Source organism: Homo sapiens, chromosome 21 (genome assembly GCF_000001405.40).
Source record: "Homo sapiens chromosome 21, GRCh38.p14 Primary Assembly".
Lineage (NCBI taxonomy): Eukaryota > Metazoa > Chordata > Mammalia > Primates > Hominidae > Homo > Homo sapiens.
The window spans coordinates 15,043,897-15,056,953 of record NC_000021.9 but is presented as its reverse complement, the minus strand read 5'-3'; the positions used below and the strand labels follow the sequence as shown (position 1 = coordinate 15,056,953).

Sequence of the window (13,057 nt, the reverse complement as noted above, 5' to 3'; positions counted from 1 at the left end):
AGTACATACCAGGTACGTTCTTTTATTGTTAAAGCCATAAGAAATGGAGTTATGAGCTTCTCCACCTCCTTTTACTTGCCTCATTTAAAATTTATGGAATTTTTGAACCTAAAAGATTCAAGCTGAGTGGTTCCCTATACACTGAAAGGTATAGTCAAATTGAAACTATATTGGAGACACAAAGATGAATAATAAGACGTGTAAACATAATATTTTCTAGGGTGCTTTGGATTTTGAGTTGCCAAATCATGTTGGAAAAGCAAGAGATTTGTATAAAAGCTGCAAAGGAAACATCTGTGTTTTGTTTAGAGAATACGTTATATTTTGGCCAAATAAGAAAAAAGAGAAATTGTCAAAGTGAACAATATGGGGGGAAGAATGTCTTCCTAAAGATCAGAATGAACTTATATTATTTCCTTAACTGATCCATGCTTTTTAAAAAAAAATGAATTAAAATACACTGAATCTATGTGAAGCCAAATATAAGGATTGAAAACAGTCTTTTTTAAATTTACCATCTGATTCCTTTCCAATATCTGGATGTTTGCTATTATTGTGGCAAGACCCATTGTTAACTGTATTGCTAAAAATCTACTTTTATCTATCCTGGTAATACTTGACTGACCTGAGTCAAAGTCACATTTTCTTTTTTTTTTTTTTTTAACTTTGAATTTCTTTTGCTTGGGCTTTCACAAATTGAAGTTATTTCATAGAATCGTTAGATTTTTCAGGTTGGAAGAGAATTTGATAAAAGCTACGGCTGCTCTGGATTTAAGCACACCTATCTTAGAGGCACCTTGTCCTCCCCCCATTTATCAAACAAGTTAGTTTTTAGATGCATCTTTTGTATGGAAGAGCACACAGTTAGTGTAGACTATAAATAAAATAATGATAAAATGCTACCATTTAGTGCTTATGTGCCATTTTCTTTCCTTTTGGGTTTCCTTCTTTATTTCTGTTTTGTCTTTACTCTGTTTTCCTTTTTATTTCTTAATATCTCATTCATCTTTTTTTTTAATTGCCAGGGGATCCATGTGATACAATGGGGTCAATAATTACTTATCTTCCTGTAGTTTTTGTTATTGCTGTTAAGTTAAAATGCCCAAAACAGTTACTATCTGCATTTTACGGAGGAAGAAATTGAGTCCTTAAGAATTTAAAGACGTTTTGAAAGTCATTCAGCTAGCAGTTGGGTAGACCTAGGATGGTCAGTCAAATCTTGATTTATTTCACACTTTTTTGTTTATTTTTGTCAAAGCAGTCTCAGAAAGAGGGGTTTGTGTACCAGGTGTTAAGGAATAGTTAATAACCTTTGGTGATGGATCCCGCAGTAAAATCCAAGCTAACCCCACAAAGGGATCTATAATAATAAGAACTGGGTCTTGAGACATGAAACGAGAATTGGCTGGCTGCATCACTTTTGTTCTAGTACCTTATTTTCTTCTCATGGTCTTCATAAAAGTCTTAGGATTTGTTGAATATTCTAGTACTTGAAATGTAATTTCCAGGCTGAGAATTTAAAAAAAGAATAGTACAGTTATGTACATGTTCATGCAGTGGCATTGTTTTACATGTTACGTACATTTGGAATTTTATTTAAAAAGAAGTAGGGAGACTTGCTATTTATTTGCAGACAAAGAGAGCCAGATACCTTTAGTTGACCAGAACACTCACAGGCCAGCTCTACTTTTTACTGATGAGTAGTATTCCAACACCATTAATGTAGGTGGTTGGGTCTGTTGGTTCAACTGGAAACATATCTCAAAGTTTATGGACCCCATTCCTCTATTCTCTTGAGAAAGGTAACAAATAAGATGAGGGGGCACTGTGTGGACCAGTGGTGATAATGTGCCATGAACCAAGTGCACGTTGGTCTACACCCCTAGAAAAGAGAGCAAGAGAGAAGAAACCTATGTGTAGACCTTTTCATGGACCACACACTGGCCACGTTCCTGATGTTGGTGAAACAAATTGGAAAGGAATATTCTCCCTCATGGGACAGTGGGCAAGGGAGTTTGTAGGCTTACTTCTGTCCCCAAGCCTCTAACAAGATCAGATTTTCTTTCACAGTTTTGTGTACGCCCTGATTGTAAAAGTTAAACTTGTGTTATAGCTGTTTTCCTTGGTAGAACTCCATGAATAGGAGCTTATTCATCAGTGTACTGTTGGTCCTGTAAGTGTCTGGCACACAGAAGGATGTCTATAAGCATTTGTTAAATTGAACTGTACCAGTCCCAACCACTGGCAAAATTTGGCACAGCAGTAGAACCTTTATGTATTTATGCATAGCAGTTGTTAATTATTATGTGTAACTTATGAATAATGGAAGCTCTTCCACGTTTTTTCTTTAGTCTGTTTAAATTAGGACTTTTAAAAGGAACAATATTTTTTCCTTAAAATGTATCTTCTTCTTTCCAGGCATACTAATTATGAGGGAAAAAGTGAAACTGACTGTTATTGACATTATAATTAATTGGTACTTGAAATAATTTGTTTTGTAATATTACATTTCTTCAGTAATACGCAAATTATATTAGAAAACGTTTAGCAAAATCTTTGGGGGCAACATTTTTTTTGTAAGGAAATGAATACAAATATTTCTGGAGCCTACTAGGCAGTTTCCTTAGCATCACTTCCTGTAGTCAAAGGGACCCGCCAGCTGGGCACACTTAACTGCCTTGGATTTGACGGCTTGGTAAGGTGGAAATCTTAACATTTCACATCCAGAGTTCATTTTGGTGTGCAGTAACCTTAAAAGTTAAGAGGGTATCAAGAACAGTTGATGATTCAGAACTTGGTAAGTTATGGGATTAAGTAGTATATGAAGCCCATCTATGTTTTAAAAATTAGGATTTGCTCTTCACTGAAGGTGAATTTCCTGACTCTTTTCTAAGAGTCATATTCAACTACATTAATAACTGCTGGTAAGAGACAGAAAATAAAATTATTTTGAAATGGAGCTCAGAGATTTCTAGACGAGAAATTTATTTTAAAATGCTAATAGAAAATAAATTATATGGATATATATTTATAACACTGATTTTTAACAGATGCTCTTAAAATAACTTTAACCTAGTTTCTTGCTTTGTGAAGACAAAGTTGTTTGTTGTTTCTTTTTTGTTTAACAAAGGTAACTTCATGAGTATTTGACAGTATATTTCTTTTGGCTCATATTTCTGTGTATTCACCTGCTTGTAAATCATAGCAAAAAGGAACAAGCTAATGGACTAATATATGAAGTAAAAGGGCAGAAAAATGAGCACATTTACTATTTATGCACTGTGTTCTACTGTGTGCTTTCCTCCAGTGCTTACTTATCCTGAATTCCTGAACAATTTTTTCCCTCATTGTTCATTAGTGTCAGTCGGTATGTTATAGAAATGTGTGAATTTCTATAAATTAGTTGTGAGTGTGAATTTCCCACTGTTGGATTCCTCAGCAGACACCCAAACTTAATTTTTATTTCATGAACTAAAAGTTGTAGCTAAGGCATGACATCTGATCAAAATTAACACTATTATCCTTTGCAATGAAAAGGGTGAATAAAACTAAAGTTCCTGGTAGTTGCCCCTGATACAAGTGTTTGCTTAGCTTTGACCATACATCTATCTATTTATTTTACATTTTACACATCCATGGGTATTCCTCCCGATAATGCCAAGGAATGCTTTCCTTTGCAGGCATCATTCTAACAACACAAACACATTCACTGTGAATTTTAAACTCTCGTTCTCTTTTTTCCTCCTTTAATAAATTATCTCATTGAGATTATTCATTGTTTTGGCAGTACTCTAAACGATCTTGCTTTTGCAAAATCATTGTATATTCTGTTTAATGGCATGTTACTTTAAAACTGTAAAGTTTAGGGTTGCTAAAGGCAAAAGCTGACAATATTTGTTAATATTGAGAATAGGTAAAAATGGGCCTTTGGGCAGTCAACAAAAGTAAAATTAAAATCTGACTTTAAATCTTTTGAAAATCTAAAATTAATATGGATTTCTTTATACCAATCAGAAATTCAAATTTTGTTTTATGTTACTGATCTTTAAGTTGTTTATGTGTCACAGTGAGAGTGGTAGGAACCTTTTTTTTAATTGTATGAAGTAAATGGAAGGAAAAATAACAGTATACATCACTGTGGTAAAACTATCTTTAATGATAGCATGTTACTTTGGACTACGTTTTGTTTTATTTTACAGTGAATTAGGAAGTGTTTTTCATTGTGTTTTTTGGAATTCTGGTAAATGTGAGCAGCAATTCATATGCATATAGGTGTAAAAAAGACGTATTTGAAAAGATATGCTGCGTGAATTTGTCCAGTGAGGATAAGTAGCAAGTTGTAATTACCTTCTGTAGTTTAAGTCATTGGCTGTATTGAATACTTCAGTGAAGTATCGCGGGGGAAAACTGTGGTTGTACATACTACCTTGTGAGTGTTGCAGGATTTAGTAGTTCTCAATGACCATTGTTACTTTTAAAAAGGAAAAAAAGTAGTGAGGGGATAGGATAGGAAGTTTTGATGTGTGGGAGGGGAAAGGAATCATTACTTCTCAGCTGCTGAAGTCGCAGTTTATTTTGTTTTAGGCCTCTTTGCATAGCATATTCTAGAGGATGGCGAAGGATAATACTTCGGGGTGAAAATGTTAGTATCCTTAACATACTTCCGGGTGGTTTAACTATTAATCAGAAGCACCATGGAGATTAAAGAATTGGAGCTAGGGATTAGATAGGTTTTAGTGAGGCTTTGCCACGGAAAAGCTATGAAATGGGTGAGTCATTCAACATCTCCTTGCTTCAGTATCAGCGTTACTTCGAAAGTGAGGTTTTACTTTCAAATGTATTGAGTATCAGGGTGAATAGAACTTAGGGCTGAGAGGATGTCCCTTATGATTTTTTGAGCTTGGCATTTAATATTTTACAGCAAAGTTTTTAGCTTAACATAATTGAACTTGTACTAGATAGGGTTAATAGGCTAGAACAAAAGGTCAAAGCATAAGGCATTAGGCTTAATTAAGGGAGAGCAGGAGTGGCAGGAGTGTGTGACAGTTAAATGGGTTTCCCACAGACTAATGTCGGTTACAGTGCAACCATGCCTCAACTTAAGTGGGTTATTTTGTGCAAAGGGCAGCAGTGATTAGCAGTTTGACATGCCAGACACTTCTGGCCAATCCCATCTGTTTTAGAGGTTAAAAAAGCACACCTTTATGAGCTGATGGATTGATTTGTGTGCCCGTCTGGTAAAGATTAGAAGTCCAAGGCCAATGCAGTAAATGTCAGTTATAGAGTATTATACTTTCTTGGTTGGCTCATTGTTTTAACCGTCAACTGTTTTATAATGGGGGATAAGTGCTGTTTATGGTGTTGAATGCAAGATAGGTGGGGGAACAGGTGAGGGAGGAAGAAAAATATTTCCTAGATGGACTTGTGAATCAAAATATTCTGTAGCAGGTGTTCACATTTTAAATGGAGTGTTTTTGACCTGTTCCTTACAGTTTCAGTCACATTGTTCTTTTCTGAGTGTTATCTGAGCAACACTGCCAGTCCAGGATTTAATTTTGCATACAGAATTGGTAGGTTTGTTTATTTAGGTACCTCTTTTTAAAGGTGTAATAATTTTTTATTGACCACCTGAACAAGGGAAAATAAAATGAAAATGACACACACACGCGCACACACACACAGAGTTCTGTGTTCTTTTATGTGGTCAGTCAGGTGCATGTGAAAAGGAGACCCAGGAGGGGCTCAGGAAAACAAAGTTTATTATACTCATGAGTTCTCGGAGGCACAGCATGCCATTCAGGGCCACATGAGAAAGCCCCAGTGTTGGTCTAGGGGCCAAAGGGGCAGGAGCTAGAAGAGAGACCGGGCTGCAGCCGTTTCTGGAGTATCTGTGGGAAAGGCAAGGCAGGGCGGGTAACCAAGTTTAGGATTCGCTAGTTTGCATTAGCTGTAGGTAAATGCTACTGCTACTACTACTAATAAGCTATAGGTGTGTAATAATAGTAGCTTTGAATAAGTTATAGGTATACAGGCTCTAAACTGTAAGAGTGATCCCTAGTTTGCCTGGTAGATACCAGGCAGGGGAATATTGCCTCCTGGGTGTATGGGTCAGGTAGAGGAGGTATCGCTGTGGATTGTTTAGTTTGCATGTGAAAGGCACGCTGAGTCCTTTGCCTTCTCTAAGCGTTGGCTGGCCCCTAGAGGGGCAATCTCTTCCCAGCCAGAAAGGAGTCAAAACCATCATAATATACAGAAAATAAGAAACATAAACAATACACACATATGTACTTGCTTTAAGGGTAGGATTTACTGTGGTCACGTGAGTTTGAAGTGTGTTTGAACTTAGACTCTAACCTATTTCTTTCTTCATTGAAAGTTGTTAAGTGCGATGCCATTAGTATAGTTCATTTTCAGTTCTGGATTGTAGCTCATTTAAAGATACACAAATACTACGTTTTGGTTATAGAAATTGGCTCCAACATATTCTGAAATTCAAGGAAAGGGAAGATCCCAATATTATGTGTATGAAATCTTCAGACATTGTCCTCATAATCAGTGAACTTAGTAACATAAAGCATTGATTGATTCTTTTGGGATAGGCAGAGAGAGAATGTTTGAGAAAAACAAAAGTTATCTTAACAGATTATATTCTTCCTGAGGTTTGAGTTTAAGTAGAAATGTAGCCAAGAACATTGGAAACACATTGGAAGGTTCTGATTGGTCTCAATAGCTTATCCTTGTCAAAGAATAGGAACCAAATATTGCCTGTTACCTAGTTACACACATATATTTCATGTCTGACTCTGAATTGTTTCTTATAGAAAGAAAATTAAAATACCAAGATGTGGTCACTGAAAGTTATATGTAGATAACAATAGGAATTAGTATTTTATTATGTATATGTATGCATTTATTTTAAAACTAAGCTAATCCAAAGTGAATTGGCTTAACTTATAAGAAGACATTGAGAAATTTTATTTCTCATTTACAAAGGACAAAGTGACATCATGTATTGAAGTTTTTTAGGAATATATTAATTAAATATATGTCCATCTGTGTGTTCTTTGTGGAGTAGCATCTCTTGAAATGATTTGGATCTAATATAGATTTACGTAAGAAAAGTTTTGCCCTTCTCTATAGGGAGAGAAAATGAAGAAGCATGAATTTTATAATATCATAGCTTTTTTTTCATTAAATCATTTGTAAGTTGCAAAAGATTGGCTTGAGTAGTGTAAAAGTGCTTGGATAGTAAATTAAATGTGAGAGATTTACCTAATTTAATGTGTGGAAACTGTTTAAATGAATCTTTTGGTGATGTTGTATTAAACCTGAAACAAATACTTCACAGTCTGCATATGTACTAATATTATAAACATTTAAAAAGTACCCTAAATCCTATTCTTTTGAGTTCCTTCTCTTTTCTCCAGTAACTTCAAGTGCCAATAATACCTTGTTTGTGTTACAATTGCATTTTACAAAGCTAAAGGGAAATAATTTGTAGGGTTAACTTTTGTGTGTGTGTGTTTTGATATACTCTTGAGGTTTTGGAGAATACACATTATCCCCTGTAATCTATGATTGTTAATCTGTCAATCTATTGTACCTCTTTTCTTTTATTAATATAGTATTATTGGATTTGAGACATGTAAACTATGCTTCTCTAAGCAAATTAGTTGAATATATTCGTGTTTAGGTTATAAAAAATGAAAGCAAGAACTCTTAACATACTTGGCATCCTGTGTTTTAAATTCTTTTCCTAAAACTATAGCTTTGTAACCTGAATATTAGGTGTTAGAAATTTTATAAGACAATGGGAAAATAATGGCCCTATATTGTATTTTGCTTCTAAATGCTATTAGGGTATAGAATTGTTCTTTATTTAGGCAGATTAATTTTAAGAAGAAAGCCATAATATATGATGGACTTATTCAAATATATATTTTAGTGTTATTTATATATTTGTAAAATGAATACGTGTGTGTGTGTATGTATTTGTATGATATATTTTAAATGGAGATGTCTACACCTGTTGATTGCATTAAGCATTTAGTATCCCCTAATGAAGGATGGAAAAGGTGCTGCCACACTGTCTAAGTGGATCATTTCTCCTTGGTAAATTACACACATTCTACTTTTTTGTATTCTGTGACCTTGCGGTCAGTGACTTCAGCCCAGAATAGTTTCAGAGTCATGTAAATGAATGCAATTAAGGTATTGCCTATCATCTTACATAGTTCAGATGGAACCTTATTGGATAGAGAGGTTTATTTGCTTTATGAGAAAGGTCAAAATAAGGTTAAATTTTATTACATAAAATGATTTGGTAATGTTTTTATTTAGCTCCTAAAAAAGTAATGTCCTAATAGGAAATGATAATGCTTTTTGTTTTTCCTTTATCACCTGGAGGTCTCTTCAGGTTCTGTTTGTTTTTGTCTGATTATAAACTCTATTTTGAGGAGATGCCTTCTGTCGACTAAGATTTTGGGAACATCCTGCCTGTAGTTAAGATTCTAGATATCTTTGACTTATACACTTAGGTGACATACCCTGTTAATGATGTAGGGTAGCTTTGGTGTTGCTGATGTGTAGGCATACTTCATTTTATTGTGCTTCACTTTACTGCTCTTTGAAGATAATTTTGTTTTTTACAAACTGAAGGTTTGTGGCAGCCCTGCATTGAGCAAGTACCATTTTTTCAACAGCATGTTTTCAGTTTGTGTCTTTGTGGTCATGTTTTGATAATTCTCACAATATATAAAACTTTTTCATATTATTATATGTGTCATGGTGATCTGTAATCAGTGATCTTTGATGTTACTATTGTGATTGTTTTGAGGTACCATGAACTGTGCCCATATCAGCCGGCGAACTTGTTCAGTGTGGTCTGACTGCTTTACAGACTGGCTGTTCCCCCATCTCATCTCCCTTTCCTTGGGATTCCCTGTTCCTTGAGACACAACAATATTGAAATTAGGCCAATTAATAACCCTATAATGGCTAAGTATTTAAATGCAAGGAAAAGTTGTAGGTCTCTTACTTTAAATCAAGAGCTAGAAAAGGTTAAGCTCAGTGAGGAAGGCATGTCAAAAGCCAAGCTCTTCTGAAAGCTAGGCCTCTTGTGCCAGTTCACCAAGTTGTGAATGTAAAAGGAAAAGTTCTTAAAGGACATTAAAAGTGCTACTCCAGTGAACACATGAATGATAAGAACACAAAGCAGCCTGATATGGTTTGGCTGTGTCTCCACCCAAATCTCATCTTGAATTGTAGTTCCTATACTCCCCATGTGTCCTGGGAGGGACCCAGTGGGAGGTAATTGAATCATGGAGGCAGTTACCCCCATGCTGTTCTCGTGATAGTGAGTTCTCATGAGATCTGATGGTTTTTTAATTTAATTTTAATGATTTATTTATTTCTGAGAAGAAGTCTCGCTCTGCCGCCCAGGCTGGAGTGCAGTGGCGCGGTCTCAGCTCACTGCAAGCTCCGCCTCCTGGGTTCACGCCATTCTCCCGCCTCAGCCTCCCAAGTAGCTGGGACCACAGGCGCCCGCCACCACGCCTGGCTAATTTTTTGATTTTTAGTAGAGATGGGGTTTCACCATGTTAGCCAGGATGGTCTCTGTCTCCTGACCTCGTGATCTGCCTGCCTCGGCCTCCCAAAGTGCTGGAATTACAGGCGTGAGCCACCGCGCCCGGCCGAGATCTGATGGTTTTATAAGAGGCTTTTCCCACTTTGCTTGGCACTTCTTCCTGCTGCCTTGTGAAGAAGGTGCCTTGCTTTCCCCTCACCTTCTGCCATGATTTTAAGTTTCCTGAGACCTCCCCAACAATGCGGAACTCTGAGTCAATGAAACCTCTTTCCTTTATAAATTACCCAGTCTCGGGCATTTTTTCATAGCTGTGTGAGAACGGACTAATAGACAGCCTTATTGCTAATATGGAGAATATTTTAGTAGTCTGCCTAGAAAATCAAAGCAGCCATAACATTCCCTTAAGCCAAAACCTAATCCAGAGCAGCGCCTCACTCTAATTCCACAAAGGCCGAGAGGAGATGAAGAAACTGCAGAAGAAAAGTTGGAAGCTAGCAGAGGTTTGTTCATGAAGTTTAAGGATAGAAGCTGCCTGGATAACATAAAAGTGCACGATGAAGCAGGTAATGCTGATGTAGAAGCTACAGCAAGCTTCCAGAAGATCTAGGTAAGATCATTGATGAAGATGGCTACATTAAACAGCAGATTTTCAGTGTAAATGAAACAGCCTTCTGTTGGATGAATATGCCATCTAGGACTTTAATAGCTAGAGAGGAGAAACCAATGCCTGGCCTCAGAACCTCAAAGGACAAACTGACTTTCTTGTTAGTGGATAATACAGCTGGTGACTTGAAGTGGAAACCAATGTTTGGCCATTCCAAAAATCCTAAGCCCCTTAAGAATTATACTAAATCTCTTCTACCTATGCTGTATAAATGGAAGAAGAAGCCTGGATGACAGAACATCTGTTTACAGCATGGTTTGCTGAATATTTTAGGCCCCCTCTTGAGACCAACTGCTCAGAAAAAAAAGATTCCTATCGAAATATTACTGTTTATTGACCACGCACCTGGTCACTCAAGAGCTCTGATGGAGATGTACAAGGAAGTTAATGTTAATTTTCATGGCTGCTAATACAACATCTATTCTGTAGCCTGTGGATCAAGGAGTAATTTCAACTTTCAAGTCTTACTATTGAAGAAATACATCTTGTGAAGCTGTAGTTGCCATAGATAGTGATTCCTCTGATGGATCTGGGCAAAGGCAATTGTAAACCTTCTGAAAAGGATTCACCATTCTAGATGCCATTGAGAACATTTGTGATTAATGGGAGGAGGTCAAAATACTAACATTAATAGGAGTTTGAAAGAAGCTGCTTCCACCCCTTATGGATAACTTTGGCGGGTTGAAGACATCAGTGGAGGAAGTAACTGCAGATGTGGTGGAAATTGCAAGAAAACTAGAATTAGAAGTGGAGCCTGAAGATGTGACTGAATTTGTATAATCTCATGAGAAAACATGGACGGATGAGGAGTTACTCCTTATAGATGAGCAAAGAAAGTAGTTACTAGAGATGGAATCTACTCCTGATTGAAGATACTGTGAACATTGTTGAAATAACAACGAAGGATTTAGAATATCATGTAAACATAATTGATAAAACAGTGGCAGGGTTTGAGAGGATTGACTCCCATCTAGAAAGATATTCTACTGTGGGTAAAATGCTATCAAACAGCATTACATGCTACAGAGAATTATTCTGTGAAAGGAAGAATCAGCCGATGTGGCAAACTTCATTGTTGTCTTGTTTTAAGAAATCATTACAGAGACCCCAACCTTCAGCAACCACAAGCCTGATCATTTGGCAGCCATCAATATGGAGGCAAGGTGCCCACCACTGAAGAGTAAAACTCTCTAAAGATTCACATGATTGTTAGCATTTTTAGCAATAAAGTATTTTTATACTAAGGTATGTACATTGTTTCGACATAAAGCTTTTGCACACTTAATAGACTATAGTACAGTGTAAACATAACTTTTATGTGCACTAGGAAACCAAAAAACTTGTGTGACTTGCTTTATTGTGATATTTGCTTTATTTTAGTGATCTGGAATGGAACCCACTATATCTCTGAGGTATGCCTTTATGTGCTTAGAGACTTGTATTAATAATGCCTGAGTACCATGCTGGTTGGTATAGGACGTCAGACAGCGACACTAGAGTCCCAACTCATCTGGGTAGAATGGACACCTACCACCCAACCAGGCTGATTGTCTGGGCCGGGGGGATTAGGAGAGCATTGAAATAAGATACTGGAGGAGTCTTACTGATGAAGAACTGACAGTGAATGAGTGGATGAGAGAGAGAATGTGCATGTGTGTGTAGTAATTAAAGGCATATATTTTTCATTGTAGTTGGTCCATATAAAACTACCGTCTTCTCTTTTATATTTTTACTTAAGCCTGGCATATTAATTGATTAAGGCTCTGTGATTAATTGATGTCATTTATCAGACATTTACTGAGTACCAGCTGTATACCTTGCACCATGCTGGGTATTGAAGGCTCACAGACACAGGGAGAATAACAATAAGCAAGATACAGACTAAGTGACCTACAGGTATAGTGGTGAAGAGCTGGATTTTGGGGAAGTATTACTTTAAGCAATTTGTTATCTTTAAGTGGTTTTAAGGAGACTGAAGGGCCCCCAGTAAAATGAAATGAAAATGAAAAATAGCTACTTTATTTTGGGAGGTTAGAATTCAGGTTTACAGATGTATTTTTATTCAAAGCTATAATCTGTGAGAACTGATCATAGGTTATAGGCTAGGAATTGAGAGTTCTAGAAGTATAAGTCAGATCTAAGTGGCGTGGCTGATAGAAATGGAATGCTGCTATGGTGGTATCAGGGAGTTCGCATGGTACCTCCCTTATCACCGCTAGCTTCACTGTCCATTGGCCTGTTGACCAAAATAAAGTTTCCTCAGCCACCACAATGTTAAATTGTTTGCTACATCTCTTGCTGGCCAAAAACTTTGATCCACTCTTTTGTTCCTGAAAGTATGAACTTTTCCACGTCAGTGTCATTCTATATCTAGTATGGTTCTAATTCTGAGTTTAACATTTTCTGTTCCTAGTGGTACAGAAAAGAAATGAGGTGTTTCAAACTCTGCAATGACTGTTAAATAATTCTAATACTTTTTCTCCCAGAATCCTTGACTGAAATTCCTCTTTATCTTTGACATTAACTTTTTACATCATTGACAATAGGGACAATCTTTATAGTAAAATAAAAACAGATGAGTAGTGGGCCGGGTGTGCTGGCTCACGCCTGTAATCCCAGCACTTTGGGAGGCCGAGGCAGGTGGATCACCTGAGGTCAGGAGTTTGAGATCGGCCTGGCCAACATGGCGAAAACTCGTCTCTACTAAAAATACAAAAACTAGCCGGGCGTGGTGCTGGGCACCTGTAATCCCAGCTACTTGGGAGACTGAGGTGGGAGAATCGCTTGGACCTGGAAGGCGGAGGTTG

At 36.8% G+C, this 13,057-nt stretch overlaps 1 protein-coding gene across 21 annotated transcripts in view; it reads left to right on the top strand.

The window, feature by feature from the left end:
* The window catches only part of NRIP1 (nuclear receptor interacting protein 1), a 104,702-nt gene that overhangs the window by 8,983 nt on the left and 82,662 nt on the right, over nt 1-13,057 (top strand). The window contains exon 1 of one of the 21 annotated variants that reach the window (XM_047440995.1): nt 2,712-11,662. The exons of the other annotated variants lie outside the window; for them this stretch is intronic. The gene's annotated coding sequence lies outside the window, so the exon portion shown is untranslated. Of the gene's footprint in view, nt 1-2,711; nt 11,663-13,057 lie in introns of those variants that run through there. 21 annotated transcript variants of the gene reach the window in all.